Here is a 16,547-nt window from a genome sequence, read left to right on the forward strand (position 1 = left end):
TACTACAACATGCTATTTTAGTCTATAAATGTGAATAACTTTTTTTTTTTTTTAAACAGAAATGAGGTCTACTCTGTTGTCCAGACTGGTCTCAAACTCCTGATCTCAAGTGATCCACCTACCTCGGCCTCCCAAAGTGCTGGGTTTACAGGTGTGAGCCACCACGCCCGGCCCAATATGAATAAATTTTAATCATAAGACTTATTCACATAAGGCCCAGGTGGTAGCTCATGCCTGTAATACCAGAACTTTGAGAGACTGAGGCAGGAGGATCACTCGAGCTCAGGAGTTCGAGACCAGCCTGGCCAACATGGTGAAACCCTGTTCTCCACTAAAAATACAAAAATTAGCCAGGCGTGGTGGCGCATGCCTGTAGTCCCAGCTACGTGGGAGGCTGAGGCAGGAGAATTACTTGAACCTGGGAGGCAGAGGTTGCAGTGAGTCGAGATTGTGCCACTGCACTCCAGCCTGAGAGACACAGCAAGACACTGTCTTAAAAAAAAAAAAATTCATCCATATCCATTCAATTCAATACACATTTATACCCAAGGCAAGATGCTAGGAATAATTAGGGCTAGAAAGAAACTGGCAGGAAAATGGGCTATCAAAGTGCACAGATAACAACAGAAAACGCATCCCATGCCACATGAGAACTATGACAACACCCTGGGAGCGCTCTGCTTCCAACCTCATGGCTGACAGGACACCCTGTATCACACTCCTGGTAACAACACCTAAAAGGCAAGATAAAACACAAAACATGTTTTTAAAAGCATCACTGAGTTGGCACAACAGTAAGGAAACTACAGGGACCAAAAATAAAGAGAAACCAGAAACCTTGGGCAATAATAAAAGAACTCCACAGCTGGCTTTTGTCCTGAAGGTTTTTGCCCACCTGCATACTTGCTCCCTGGCAGCTGGTGAAGTCTGGCATTAGGAGGTAAAGACTTAAGCTCATTCCATTGTGGAGAGTCCAAGAGGAGATGCCCACAAACGTCCAGGATGCGAAGACCTACAACCTCAATGTAAGGCTAACTATGAAATGAACCCCCCAACAGAAGGGGGCAGTAAGGAACCTACCTTTCTCTATCACTGAGTGGAAGGAGAGACGGCCCCCTAACTATCTGTAACCACTAGACAGCTCTCATGAAAGCGTCATGATCCACAAAAGGACAGTAGAAATTGAGCCTAGCTTGTGCCTAGTTACTGACAAAGGCCTTTCAGGAAAGGCCTGACTTTATCCAGGTGTCAAAAAATGCCCAGAGGTAAAGTTCCAAGGAAAACGAGCAGCTCATTGTCAAAAACCAAAACACAGAGCAATCAAGGAGCCAGGACTCAACAGTCAGCAGAAGTCACGTTCAGATTGAGAAATTATTAGTTGCTGAACATAAAATATGTTTAGTGTGTTTAAAATGTAACCAAAGAGCAACTAAGAAGATTTAAGAACTAACACTTCTTTTTTTTTTTTTTTTTTTTTTGAGATGAAGTCTCCCTCTTGTCCCCCAGGCTGGAGTGCGATGGCGTGATCTCAGCTCACTGCAACCTCCGCCCCCTGGGTTCAAGCGATTCTCCTGCCTCATCCCCCTGAGTAGTTGGGATTACAGGCGCCTGCCAGGACGCCAGGCTAATTTTTGTATTTTTAGTAGAGATGGGGTTTCACCATGTTGGCCAGGCTAGTCTAGAACTCCTGACCTCAGGTGACCCACCCACCTTGGCCTCCCAAAGTACTGGGATTACAGGTGTGAGCCACTGTGCCCGGCCTAAAACTTCTAGAAGTGAAAATTTTAATGAATTTTACAACAGCTTTACTGAGGTATAATTCACATATAATAAACTGCATATATCTAAAGTACACAATTTAATGTTTTGACAAATGTATAAACTATGAAATCAGCACAATCAAGAAAATAAATCCATCCTCTCCCCAAATTTCCTTGTGCCCTTTTGTAATCCCTTCCTCCTATCTCTTTGCCCCCCACTCCTGGTTCTCATATCCACAGGCAAACACTGACCTTCCCTGTTACTAGAGATTATGTTTTCTAGAATTGTATATGAATGAAACCATAACAGTATTCAGTATGTAATCCTTTGGCTGGCTTCTTTCAGCACAATGATTTTGAGATTCATCCATGTTGTAGCATGTATTAGTAGTTCATTTCTTCTGATTGTTCAGGAATATTCCACTGTGAGGATATACCATAGTCTATTTGTGCATTTATCTGTTAACGAACATTTGGGTTGTTGCCAGATTTTGGCTTCAAGCCAAATCAAACTGCTATGGACAGCCATGTACAAGTCTGCACAGACATTTGCTTCCATTTCTCTAAGGTAAATATTTAAGAGTAGAGTTGTTGGGTCATACAGTAGATTTATGTTTAAGTTTCAAACTACCAAATTATTTTCCAGATTATACCATTTTACATTCCCACAAGCAATACATAAGAGTTCCAATTTCTCCCTTTCCTCACCAACACTTGTTATGATCAGTCTTTTTAACATTAGACATTCTAATAGGTGTGTAATGCCACTTCATGGTGGTTTTAATTTGTATTTTCCTAAAGACTAATGATGGTGAACACCTTTCCATGTGCTTACTTGACATTCATATATTTTATTTGGGGAAGCACCTGTTCAATCTTTCACCTGTTTCTTTTTCTTTTTTTTTTTTTTTGAGACAGAGTCTTACTCTGTTGCCCAGGCTAGAGTGCAGTGGCGCGATCTCAGCTCACTGCAACCTCCACCTCCCAAGTTCAAGTGATTCTCCTGCCTCCCAAGTAGTTGGGATTACAGGCGTGCACAACCATGCTGGGCTAATTTTTGTATTTTTAGTAGAGACAGGGTTTCGCCATGTTGGCCAGGCTGGTCTCGAACTCCTGACTTCAAGTGATCCACCCGCCTCAGCCTCCCAAAGTGCTGGGATTACAGGCATGAGCCATTGAGCTCGGCCTATTTCTTTTTTGAATTGGGTTGTTTGTTTTCTTATTATTAAGCTTTGGGAGTTCTTTATATATTCTGCATCTGAATCCTTTATCAGGTACATGATTTGCTAGTATTTTTCCTAGACTATGTCATACCTTTCAAAATAATAATAATAAAAGCACCTTTTATGTATTAAATAGACAGACACAGCTGAAGACAAAATTCACTAACTGAAAGATGAATCTTAGGACAGTATCCAGAATATAGTACAAAGAGACCAAAAAAGAGAATATATAAAAAAGAAATTAAGAGACAAGGAGAATAAAATGAAAGATGAAGGTCTAATAAGAGTTCCAAAAGAAGAAAACAGAAAGAATGCAGAAGATAAAATACTTCTCGAGATAACAGAGAATGTTCCAGAGCTGTTGACAGATGCCAATCCTCAGAATCAGTAAATTCAACAAAGCCCAATAGGGAAATTAAAAGAAATTCACACCTGGCTCTGCTCACAAGGGAGGATTAATCCCAATTTCATTAAATCCCAAAACTCCACTAATTGACAGTAAAGGGATTTTTACATCAAATAATATAAAACCACAAAAGCGGGACTAACAGCAGTGCACACAACACAGATGTTTGGAAGTTGGCAAAAGAACAGACGAGAAATAACTGACCTAGTACATCTGAGACAAACCTCAAGCCAGAAGGAGTAAAACTGGATAAACACTCCAGTTACAGCACAGAATCTTCAAAGTTTCAGGAACTGACAACACCATGTACCTCTGGAAAGGGGAATAAAATGTAGGGACTGAAAATAAGGCAGACTGAGTGAACAATATTTAAGAGGCAGTTAAATCCCTATCTACTCCCCAACTCCATGCTCCTAGGTGACTGCCTCTATCCTCTCCTGGCATAAGTCTAAAAGTTTTTCTCTAGACAGTTGAAATGTTATCTGGCCTAGGAGATGATAGGCACAGTTGAGTCTTGGGCACCATATGGAAAACGGTGCCTGGGTGATTACATTAGCAATGAATGCTTCTGGAAATAAACATCACATTTATGGTCAATTGATCTGACAAAGGTGTCAGGCAATTCAGTGGGAGAGAGAATAGTCTTTTCACCAAATGGTGCTGGGATAACTGGATATTTACATGGAAAAGAATTAATTTGAATCCTTTAACTCACACTATACACAAAAATTAACTTAAAATTGATCATAGAACTACATGTAAGAGCTAAAACTATAAAGCTCTTAGAAGAAAACACAGGAGGGTAGGATCAATTGGTCTTGGCAACTTACTGGATATCCTAGAATAAAGCAAAAACTGACTCAGATTTTAAAACTGCTTGGCTGAGAAGACAGGAAAAAGTTCTTCCAGGACACCTAAGTCGAATGTGTCTTTCCTCTTTGCTGATCTGGCTCTGAATCCTTTCACTGTAGCAACTCAAGAGAACTCTATGCTTAGTCCTGAGTGGTCCTAGCAAACCACGGAACCTGGGGACATCTTGGAAGCTTCAACACAGGCATATATAATGAGAACAAATCAATTTGCCTTTATAGCATAATGACAAACCAGCACAGTAGTATTAACCTGACTTGCTGGCCTACAATTTTCAGAGAGCAGAACTTCCCCGGCTTCTTAGTTCAGCAGCTGCTGATGGACATCAATCACACCAACTCAGCATCCTGCCCTTCTCTTCCAACCCACACTCCCCCCTTTCTTCACAGCTCTCCTTAATCTATCCTTAGATGTCTCAGCCCAGAAGTTAGAAGGCTTATTAGCATGTCATTATTCTATAACCAAGGTATACACAGAAACATTTTGGGGGAAGATGTTTTTCATATCTTAAAATGCACGTAAAACCGCTCTGTAGACAATAAAGTGTTTTAGAAGGTAACGTATTATTAAGCTTAAAAGGTAGATGTGTAAGCCATAAAATACAGTAACATCTTTGATGTGATGCTTCCAATCCTAAATTATTCCTCTAGAGGAGCTCTCATACCTTCCTCTAATTACAAGCCACATAAAGGATAAAAACACATTTTTCACTTTGGTTTCAGGTTTCAATTTTGTTGATCTTGAAATATACACATTATCTCCTTATTAACAAGAAAAAACTTCATCAAGGAAAAGGTCTCATCACATCAAAACTGGTCTACCCAATTTATCATACATTTGGAATGCTTTCCTTTTGAGTCTCTTCCATATATTATATCATATACAACACACCTCACTTCTTCAACACACGGCCTACTCAATGTATCTATTTAATCTTCCCTGAAGTTCAGGTCATGGTAATTCTTTCTTCCTTTCTTTCTTTCACTTATTATTATTATTATTTTTTTTTTTTTGGAGACAGAGTCTCGCTCTGTCACCCAGGCTGGAGCGCAGTGGTGCAATCTCAGCTCACTGCAACCTCTGTCTCCTGGGTTCAGGCGATTCTCCTGCCTCAGCCTCCAGAACAGCTGGGATTACAGGCACCTGCCATCATGCCCAGCTAATTTTTGTATCTTTAGTAGAGAGAGGGTTTCACCATGTTGGCCAGATTGGTCTAGAACTCCTGACCTCAGGTGATCCGCCTACCTTGGCCTCCCAAAGTGCTGGGATTACAGGAGCTAGCCACCGCGCCCGTCCCATGGTAAATCTTAGAACTCAAAAAGATCTTCAACATTCTGTTGGACAAACAAGCTATAAATGCTTGCTAAAGTGTAACCTGGATGTTCCCAAGCTTGGCATGGCAACATAGTCACATGGGGAGTTTTCTAGGCCCCACTCCAGATTTACTGAATGAAAATTTCTACCAGTGGTGTGTGTGCGTCTATTTCTTAAGACGTCCTGAAGCAGATCCGCCTGGAAGAACTCTGTAGAGGCTCTTGATTTGCAGTGGACAAATCTCTACTCCAATGACAGAAGGCAGGAATGTGAAGAGGGAGAATCTATAATCTTAACAACAGGAATATTTCTCCCTGAGTGGCAGAAGGATTATGATATTGAAACCAAAGAGAAGAAAATATAATCTAGTATACCACATGGCTCTGCAGTGGATAATACCTGCAAAATCTAAAATAATGAAACTGCTAAATGGTTTTCAACTTTATAACCAATCTACAGACAAAGCAAAAAAGGTTTATAGTTAGATAACAATATACAAATATTGTCAACCTTTACAACATGAAAGTCTGGTACAGCTGCAAGAGCTGGAAGGAAGGAAGGAAGGGAGGAAGGGAAGGAGGGAGGGAGGGAGGGAGGAAGGAAGGAAGGAAGGAAGGAAGGAAGGAAGGAAGGAAGGAAGGAAGGAAAGATGGCAGGGGCCTAATATTATCATTTTACAAAGAGCAAGGTCCAGAGATACTGTTTAAAGTTGATAGTACAAATAAACAGAGATTTAAGTATATGAGGTAGGGTCACAAATATAGCCAATAAAAGAACTAGCAATTCAATAATAAGTTGGGAAGTAGAGAGGTGAAATAACTTGCTCAAATTCAGCTCATTAGAAAGCTCCGAGGCCAGTGGGCTAAACATGGGCCAGTCACACTCTAGATTCCATGCACTTTACCAGTATCTCACCATGCCCAGCCCTGTGTGAGGAAGGAACTTGCCTAAGCTTAGATGCCTAGTTAGTGTTACAGCCAGAAAAAGAAACTCAATCAGGCTGGGCGCGATGGCTCACGCCTGTAATCCCAGAACTTTGGGAGGCCAAGGTGGGCGGATCACAAGGTCAGGAGATTGAGACCATCTTGGCTAACACGGTGAAACCCCATCTCTATTAAAAATACAAAAAATTAGCCGGGCGTGGCGGTGTGCGCCTGTAGTCCCAGCTGCTGGGGAGGCTGAGGCAGGAGAATGGCTTGAATCCGGGAGGCGGAGCTTGCAGTGAGCCCAGATCAGGCCACTGCACTCCAGCCTGGGCGACAGAGTGAGACTCTGCCTCAAAAAAAAAAAAAAGAAACTCAATCTCTAGTCTTAAAATTACTTGTTACAGTTATCTTCAAATTTTCAGAAAAGACCACATTAAAAATGTCCCTATTTGGTTCATTCTTTCAACATACACCAACATTTCGGCTTTTTTTGAGATGGAGTCTCACTCTCTTGCCCAGGCTGGAGTGCAGTGGCACGATCTCGGCTCATTGCAACCTCTGCCTCCTGGGTTCATGTGATTCTCCTGTCTCAGCCTCCTGAGTAGCTGGGACTACAGGCGCATGCCACCACGACCAGCTAATTTTTGTATTTTTAGTAGAGATAGGGTTTCACCATATTGGTCAGACTGGTCTCGAACTCCTGACCTCAGGTGATCCACCGACCTTGGCCTCCCAAAGTGCCAGGATTACAGGTGTGAGCCACCACGCCCAGCCAACACCAACATTTCTTACAAAGAGCTCCTCCACAGCTCCCCTCACCTATGATAAGCATTCCATCTATTCTCCAAGTCTATACCACAATGATGGAGGAAGACACTGCAGCCCACCATCCATTGTGTCTGTCAAAACCTGACAGAGGATCCAGAACCAACACTGAAGATGCAAAGCAAGTCAGCCTACTCAACTCTTAGTCTACAAGCTAAGCCCATAGCCCATCTGCCGCCACAGAGATGCTGTGTTTACGTGCACAGAGGCACCCACTGCCTGCTCCAGGAGAGGACATGGCAGCAGCATGTGAAGGGCAGGTGGAGGGCTGCTCCAAAGGAGACATGATCTGATTCATGGACCATTATGTGAATAGGTAACACCACTCAGTGACTGCTGCTTTATAATTTCATATAATATTTTGAAATATTCAATAGAAATGACAATATCTACCCCCAAAATAATTATTTAAAAATAAGTTATCACCCAAACTCATTACTACCGGTAAAAAGCAATTAAAAAAAAAAAAAAAACAGGGTCTTACTCTGTTGACAAGGCTGAAGTGCAGTGGTATAATCATGACTCATGGCAGCCTCAAACTCCTGGGCTCAAGTCATCATCCCGCCTCAGCCTCCTGAGTAGCTGGGACTACAGGCAGATGCTACCACATCTGACTTTTTTTTTTTTGAGATGGAATTTCGCTCGTTGCCCAGGCTGGAGTGCAATGGTGCGATCTTGGCTCACTCCAACCTCTGCCTCCTGGGTTCAAGCGATTCTCCTGCCTCAGCCTCCTGAGTAGCTGGGATTACAGGCGCCCACCACCACGCCCAGCTAATTTTTTTGTATTTTTAGTAGAAACAGGGTTTCACCATATTGGCCAGCCTGGTCTTGAACTCCTGACCTCAGGGGATCTGCCCGCCTCGGCCTCCCAAAATGCTGGGATTTACAGGCATGAGCCACCACGCCTGGCCACATCTGACTTTTTTTTTTTTTTTTTTTTGACACGGAGTCTCTATTGCCCAAGCTGGAGTACAGTGGTGCGATCTTGGCTCACTGCAACCTCTGCCTCCCGGGTTCCAGCAATTCTCCTGCCTCAGCCTCCCGAGTAGCTGGGACTACAGGCGCATGCCACCATGCCTGGCTAATTTTTGTATTTTTTTGTAGAGACGGGGTTTCACCAGATTGGCCAAGCTGGTCTCAACTCCTGACCTCGTGATCTGTGCGCCTCAGTCTCCCAAAGTGCTAGGATTACATGTGTGAGCCACACACCTGGCCTCATCTGATTAATTTTTTAAAACCTTTTATAGACAGAGGGTCTCACCATCTTGCTCCAGCTGATCTCAAACTCCTGCCCTCATGTGATCCTCCCACCTTGGCCTCCCAAAGTGCTGAGATTACAGGTGTAACCCACTGCACCTAGCCATCAATTTTTAAAATTCAATTTAATTCACTGTCACTTACCCCATTTTCAGTACGTTTTTCTCCAGGTACATTTATTACATTTCTCTGAGTTCGTTGCTCTTGGGTCTGACGGCCACCTAAAGAAATAAAAGAACCAAACTCACCAAAAGGCGTATTAGAAAAAAGTAATATTCTCCCATTTCTTCATGTATTCAAATATTTATTGAACACAAGTGTAAAATACCAGGCTGAGAAATTCAAGACTTTAGTACAGTTGAAAAAATGGTCTTACAATTAATCTTTTATATATAAAGTTGTTCAGGCTGCGCTCAGTGGCTCACACCTATAATCCCAGCACTTTGGGAGGCCAAAGCAGGAAGATAGCTTGAGCCCATGAGTTCTAGACCAGCCTCAGCAACATGGGGAGACTTTGTTTCCACAATAAATATTTTAAAATTAGCCGGGTATGGTGGTGCACCCTGTAGTCTCAGCTACTTGGGGGGCTGAGGCGGGAGAATGACTTGAGTGAGAGGGGTCGAGGCTGCAGTAAGTCAGGATTGGGCTACTGCACAATCTTGCTCTGTTGCACTCCAGCCTGGGCAACAGAGCAAGACCCTGTTTAAAAAAAATAAATTAAAAATAAATGAAATAAAGTGTGTAAATGAAATCTTTTCTTTTTACATTCTATCTCAGAATCTTGAAATTGACTTGTTATCAAAAGGCTTTTAACACTTAAAAATGGAGAAGATGGTAAATTTTATGTGTATTTTATCTCAATTAAAAATAAAAATTTGGGGCTGGGCGAGGTGGCTCATGTCTGTATTCCCAGCACTTTGGGAGGTGCTGGGATTCTCCCAAGGTGGGAGGATCACTTGAGCTCAGGAATTCAAGACCAGCCTGGGCAACGTGGCGAAAATCTGTCTCTACAAAAAAAAAAAAATACAGAAAGTAGCGAGGCATGGTGACATGTGCCTCATGTGCCTGTAGTCCCAGCCACTCACGAGGCTGAGGAGAATAGCTTGAGCCTAGGAGGTAGAGACTGCAGTGAACCATGATCGCACCATTGCGCTCCAGCCCAGGTGACAGTGAGACCCTGTCTCAAAAATAACATAAAGATAAAAATTTGGCATTCATATTACCAAGAGAGGAAAAAAAAGAAAAAAATTTTCAAAAAGGCATTTGCGGCCAGGCATGGTGGCTCACGCCTGTAATCCCAGCACTTTGGAAGGCTGAGGCGGACAGGCTGCTTGAAGCCAGGAGTTTGAGACCAGCCTGCCCGAATGGCAAAACCCTGTCTCTAGTAAAATTACAAAAATTACCCAGGCGTGGTGGTGCACACCTGTAATCCCAGCTAACTAGGAGGCTGAGGCAGGAGAATTGCTTGAACCCGGGAGGCGGAGGTTGCAGTGAGCTGAGATAGCACCACTGCACACCAGCCTGGGCGACAGAGTGAGACTCTGTCTCAAAAAAAACCAAAACTAAAAGCAAAAAAAAAATCCAAAAGGCATTTGCATTTTAGGGCCAGGCATGGTGGCTCATGCCTGCAATCCCTGCAGTTTCAGAGGCCAAGGCAGGAGGATCACTTGAGACCAGGAGTTCACGACCAGCCTGGGCAACAGCGTGAAACCCTATCTTTACCAAAAATACAAAAAATTAGCTGGGCGTGGTGGCACACGCCTGCGGTCCCAGCTACTTGGAAGGCTGAAGTGGGAGGATCACTTGAGCCCAGGAGGCAGAGGTTGCAGTGAGCCAAGATCATGCCACTGCACTCCAGCCTGGGTAACAAGTGAAACCCTGTCTCAAAAAAAAAAAAAAAAAAAAAAAAAAAAAGACATTCACTGAGATGGGGGCTGGACGTGGTGGCTCATGCCTGTAATCCCAGCACTTTGGGAGGCCAAGGCGGGCAGATCATGAGGTCAGGAGATTGAGACCATCCTGGCCAACATGGTGAAACCCCATCTCTACTAAAAATACAAAAAATTAGCCCGGCATGGTGGTGCACACCTGTAGTCCCAGCTACTTGGGAGGCTGAGACAGGGGAATTGCTTGAACCCGGGAGGCGAAGGTTGCAGCCAAGATTGCGCCACTGCACTACAGCCTGGCAACAGAGTGAGACTCTGTCTCTAAAAAAAAAAAAAAGAAAGGAAAAGAAAAAAAGAATATTAGTAAGTTGAAGGGAGAAGTTTAGTGAGCAAAAGCAAAACAAAACATGAGACAGCACCCAATAAGCTACTCTCTATGCCACCCTTTTAGGCAAAGGTAAAGGGGCAGAGGGTAGAGTGTTACAGGTGGGGAAGATGGAATTCTGAGTCGGGGCATGAAAGAGAGAGTGAATGTACAGCTCCTGGGCTCATGCAATCCTCTCACCTCAGCCTCCCAAAGTGCTGGGATTACAGGCATGAGCCACCATACTCAGCCCGTTTCCAAACTTTATAAAGTGAGAAAAAAATAACCACTCTCCTCAGGACATTAAGGATTATGTACATATTAATAAGTAAAAGGCAAGACTTTTTATTTAAGTATAGATAAGTGAGGGAGGGTATAGGTGTCTGAAGAACTCAGGTAGAGAGTTAAAATAAATCCTTAGCACTAAAGCAGCACTTCAACTGTCAGCCAGTCTAATCCTCCTCTTCAGGTGGATGTTCCCAGAGAGGACGGACCCTGGTCTAAGGTAAAAGTAGATGAAGAGTTGAGCCCGGAGCCTTGGTGTCCTGGCTCCAGATGTAATGGTGTATTCTAAAAGACAGCCTTATGCTACGGAAAGATGATTTTAAAGTAGATAGTAGCTCATTCAAGGGCAAATTTTCCTTTACTATAAAATACAGATAAAGGGGATAACTTGCAATAAAGAAGTATTATTTTTACAAAGGATTGTCCTTTTATTTGCTTGAGTTCATTTTTTTAAATATTAGAAGTAATCCATAATCACTGTTAATTAACAAGTTAAAGGTTTTTTTGTTTTGTTTTGTTTTTGTTGTTGTTTTTGAAACACAGTCTCGCTCTGTCGCCCAGGCTGGAGTGTAGTGGCGCGATCTCAGCTCGCTGCAAGCTCTGCCTCCCGGGTTCACACCATTCTCCTGCCTCAGCCTCCTGAGTAGCTGGGACTACAGGCGCCTGCCACCACACTCGGCTAATTTTTTGGTATTTTTAGTAGAGACGGGATTTCATCATGTTAGCCAGGATGGTCTCGATCTCCTGACCTCGTGATCCAACCTCCTTGGCCTCCCACAGTGCTGGGATTACAGGCATGAGCCACCGCGCCCGGCCAAAGGTCTTTTAACTGTACAGTGTATACGTGTTCAAAAAAATTTCCTTATTTTCTTTAAATTTTAATTCAAAAATATATAGTATATTCCCATGGTTCAAAAATCAAAAAGAACAAAGAGGTATACAATCAACAACCCTCCCTCCTCTGTTCTACAGCCACTTTTCCCTTTCCCCCCAGGCCAACAACATCCCCAGTTGCGTAGATATCTTTCCAAAACTGCTTTATACATATACACATACAAACAGATAGATATGCACATTACTCTTTGCTCATCTTTCCACAAAAAAAGACTAAGTGTGCACATTCTTTTGCACCATGCTTAATTCATGTAACATGTTTAGGAGATGGTCTGGGTCAGGGCACAGAGGTTCTTCATTATTTACGGCTGCAGAGCATTCTGCTGTGTAGATGGACCCTAATTTATTTAGCTCAGCTCTCCTGGTGGGCATTTAGGTTGTTCCTACCAGCAATGCTCAGTGAATAACCCTGTTTATATATCATTTTGTATGTGCCAGGGCACAGCTTTAGGATAAATTCTCAGAAATGAAACTGCTGGGTAAAAGGTTTTATGTTTTGTAAGTTTAACAGCCATTGCCAAATTTCCTTCTATAGAAGGTGCCAACCGCCTCCCACAGCAATGCAGAAGACGGCCTGTTTCTCAGAGTCCTTGTCAACACTGTGCTATTAACTGTTTTAATCTTTGCCAATGTGACAGTTAAAATATAGTATTTCAAGATAGTTTTCTCTGCATGTCTTTTATTAGGAATAAGGTGAATATCTTCATATATCCTAGGGCCATGTATATTCCTTTTCTGTGAACTGTGTGTGTATATATTTTTTCTATTATTCTACTAAGCTTTTTTTTTTTGAGATGGAGTTTCACTCTTGTTGCCCAGGCTAGAGTGCAATGGCGCGATCTCGGGCTCACTGTAACCTCTGCCTCCCAGGTTCAAGCGATTCTCCTGTCTCGGCCCCCCGAGTAGCTGGGATTACAGATGCATGCCACCAAGCCTGGCTAATTTTTGTATTTTTAGTAGAGACGGGGGTTTCACCATGTTGGCCAGGCTGGTCTCGAACTCTTGACATCAGGTAATCCACCCCACTCGGCCTCCCAAAGTGCTGGGATTATAGGTGGGAACCAGCACGCCTAGCCAAGTTTTTTTCCTATCAAATTTTAGGAATTCTTTACATGTAAAGAGAATTAGCCCTTTGCAATATGAGCTACAAATGCTACTTCCCAGTTTATAATTTATCTTTTGACTTTTTTTTTAGATATTATTGCCATGCAGTTATTTTTGGTTTTGTTTTATTTATATGTATTTCCTGAGACAGAGTCTCGCTCTGTCGCCCAGGCTGGAGTGCAGTGGCCTGATCTTGGCTCACTACAACCTCTGCCTCCCAGGTTCAAGCAATTTTTCTGCCTCAGCCTCCTGAGTAGCTGGGATTATAGGCGCACACCACCACATCGGGCTAATTTTTAGCAGAGATGGGGTTTTACCACGTTGGCCAGGCTGGTCACAAACTCCTGACCTCAAGTGATCTGCCTGCCTTGGCCTCCCAAAGTGCTGGGATTATAGGCGTGAGCCACCACACCCAGCCTATTTTTATTTTTTGAGACAGGGTCTCTCTCTGTTGCCCTGGCTGGCTGGAGTGCAGTGGCACAATCATGGCTCACTGCAGCCTTCACCTCCTGGGCTCAATCGATCCTCCCACCTCAGCCTCCCAAGTAGCTGAGACTACAGGGCATCCACCAACACAACCAGCTATTTAGTATTTTCTGTAGAGATGGGGTTTTGCCATGCTTCCCAGGATGGTCTCGAACTACTTGGCTCAAGTGATCTGCCTGCCTCAGCCTTTCAAAGTGCTGAAATTACTAGCCTGAGCCACTGCACCCAGGCTTTGTTTTAAATAATTCATTTATCAGTCTTGTCTTTTATGTTTTAGTGTTACACTTACAAAGGCCTTGTTCACTTCAAAAATAAAAGATCTTCCAGAACTTTCTTCTAGTATTTTCATGGTTTTATATATTTTTAAAATCTAGATGTTTGACCAATCTGATATTTACCAAAAACAATCCCTTTAGTGTGGCGGTGGGTGCCTGTAATCCCAACTACTCGGGAGGCTGAAACAGGAGAATCGCTTGCACCCAGGAGGCAGAGGTTGCAGTGAGCTGAGATTGTGCCACTGTACTCCAGCCTGGGTGACAGAGTGAGACTCCATCTCAAAACAAAACAAAACAAAAATCCCTTTAAACACCAAGTCCCTTTATATGTCTGAGTACGTTGTTTAATTAACTTAGAGTCCTGAGAAGGAAAGAAGCGTTGGTGCCTAAAAAGTGTGATGTAATTGGCTGGGTACAGTGGCTGACACCTATAATCCCAGAACTCTGGGAGGCTGAGGTGGGCAAATCACTTGAGGTCAAGAGTTCGAGACCAGCCTGGCCAACATGGTGAAACCCCATCTCTATTAAAAATACAAAAATTAGCCAGGTGTGGTGGTGCACACCTGTAGTCCCAGCTACTTGGGAGGCTAAGGCAGGAGAATCCCTTGAACTCCGGAGGTGGAGGTTGCAGTGAGCCAAGATTGCACCACTGTACTCCAGCCTGGGCGACAGAGTGAGACTCTGTCTCCAAAAAAAAAAAAAAAAAAAAAAAAAAAAAAAAGTGCCGTAATGGTAAACAACACTAACAGAAGCCAAAGTAACATGGGATACCAACTTTCCCTCTAGCCACTTGTAAGTGCAGGGCCGGGTGTGTGTGAATAATTTAATATTTATTCCTATTTTTCTTAAATTAACTTTCCTAGCAAAAATTAACAAATGAGGAAGAAAGCAGTTATCTACCTTGTTCACTGTTCTCAGTTGGGGAGTCCTCGTGTCGAAGGAAAAATTTCACTTCTTCCCTCCGTGGACCCCATTTCTGAAGATGTTCGTACATCATATGATCAAAGGGTATGGGACGTTCTAGGAAAAAGACCACATCTTTTTTACTCCAGAATTAAAATGACTCCAACCAAAAGTAAATTTTGTAAAAAACTTAAATGAATGTATATATGCACACATGTATGTCTACATGTTACAATTCAAAGATATTACAAGCACTGAATTTCAACATTACTGAGTAAAAGCAAGAATATGAATGGGAAATAATTTAGGCAACAGATAAACACAAAAAGTATCCACGAAAGCAATTTTGCAACATTAAATAGGGAACACTGAAACATGCCTTTTACAAAACTTATTTATCACAAAGCACTGTGTCTCCCATTCATTTGTTTGTTTGGTTGAGATGGGGTTTTGCTCTTGTTGCCAAGGCTGGAGTGCAGTGGCACCATCTTGGCTCACCGCAACCTCCGCTTCTGGGTTCAAGAGATGCTCCTGCCTCAGCCTCCCAAGTAGCTGAAATCACAGGCATCCACCACCGTGCCCAGCTAATTTTTTGTATTTAGTAGAGAGAGGGTTTCACCATGTTAGCCAGGCTGGTCTCAAACTCCTGACCCCAGGTGATCCACCCGCCTTGGCCTCCTAAAGTGCTGGGATTATAGGCGTGAGCCATCACACTCAGCCTTTTTTTTTTTTTTTTTTTGAGACAGAGTTTTGCTCTTATCACTTAGGCTGGAGTGCCATCTCGGCTCACTACAACCTCTGCCTCCAGGGTTCGAGAGATTCTCCTGCCTCGGCCTCCTGAGTAGCTGGGATTACAGGTGCCCACCACCATGACCAGCTAATTTTTGTGTTTTTAGGAGAGACGGGGTTTTACCATGTTGGCTAGGCTGGTCTTGGCCTCTTGGCCTCCTGGCCTCAGGTGATCCACCCGCCTTGGCCTCCCAAAGTGCTGGGATTACAGGTGTGAGCCACTATGCTCAGCCTCCCATTCTTGAAAGAAACATAAATTGACCAGGCCATGTTATTTCTTAAAATGTCAGGCGTGGCAATCAGAGGTACGAAGGCTGGACAGGGCACTTCCTGGCAACTCAGGCAACATTATTGTGAATGTTTGTCAGTACCAAGTTAATAAAAATTAAATCCTATATAACTAAATGTATTTCAAATATTTTTTTAAAAATCAAAGCTTACTCACAATCTCTCACTCCTTTACTTTTTTTGAGACAAGGTCTTTGCTCTGCCACCCAGGCTGGAGTGCAGTGGTATGATCTCAGTTCACTGCAACCTCCACCTCCCGGGCTCAAGCGATCCTCCCACCTCAGCCTCCCAAGTTAGCTGAAACTATAGGCATATGCCACCATGCCTGGATAATTTTTGTAATTTTTGTAGAGATGGGGTTTTTGCCATGTTGCCTGGGCTAGTACTGAACTGCTGGGCTCAAGCAATCTGCCTGCCTCAGCCTCCCAAAGTGCTGGGATTACAGGTGTAAGCCACTGTACCTGGCCAGTATCTAACCAATTACTTGAGAAGAGCACTAACTCAGTTGTTGAATTTAAAGGAACACTTTTATATGTATAATGCATTCCATTTTCCTTCTCTGTGAACTGTCTCAGGTATTATGCCTATTTTTCAAAAATCTGGGTTGTGGCTGAGTGGGGTGACTCACGCCTGTAATTCTAGCACTTTGGGAGGCCAAGGTGGGCAGATCACCCGAGGTCAGGAGTTCCAGA

The 16,547-nt window shown here is 43.2% G+C and overlaps 1 protein-coding gene across 12 annotated transcripts in view; it reads right to left on the reverse strand.

Moving 5' to 3' along the window:
* The window catches only part of PPP1R13B (protein phosphatase 1 regulatory subunit 13B), a 115,620-nt gene that overhangs the window by 36,825 nt on the left and 62,248 nt on the right, over positions 1 to 16,547 (reverse strand). For all 12 annotated transcript variants that reach the window (XR_007063997.1, XR_001750206.3, XR_001750205.3 and 9 more), the window contains exons 3-4: positions 14,776 to 14,895; positions 8,726 to 8,802 (exon numbers count right to left, since the gene is read on the reverse strand). Coding sequence is in view for 8 of the 12 variants with exons in the window: in XM_005267487.6 (XP_005267544.1) it covers positions 8,726 to 8,802; positions 14,776 to 14,895 (197 nt within the window). In the remaining 4 variants the exon portion in view is untranslated. The remainder of the gene's footprint in view (positions 1 to 8,725; positions 8,803 to 14,775; positions 14,896 to 16,547) is intronic.

This window comes from Homo sapiens, chromosome 14 (assembly GCF_000001405.40).
Source record: "Homo sapiens chromosome 14, GRCh38.p14 Primary Assembly".
NCBI lineage: Eukaryota > Metazoa > Chordata > Mammalia > Primates > Hominidae > Homo > Homo sapiens.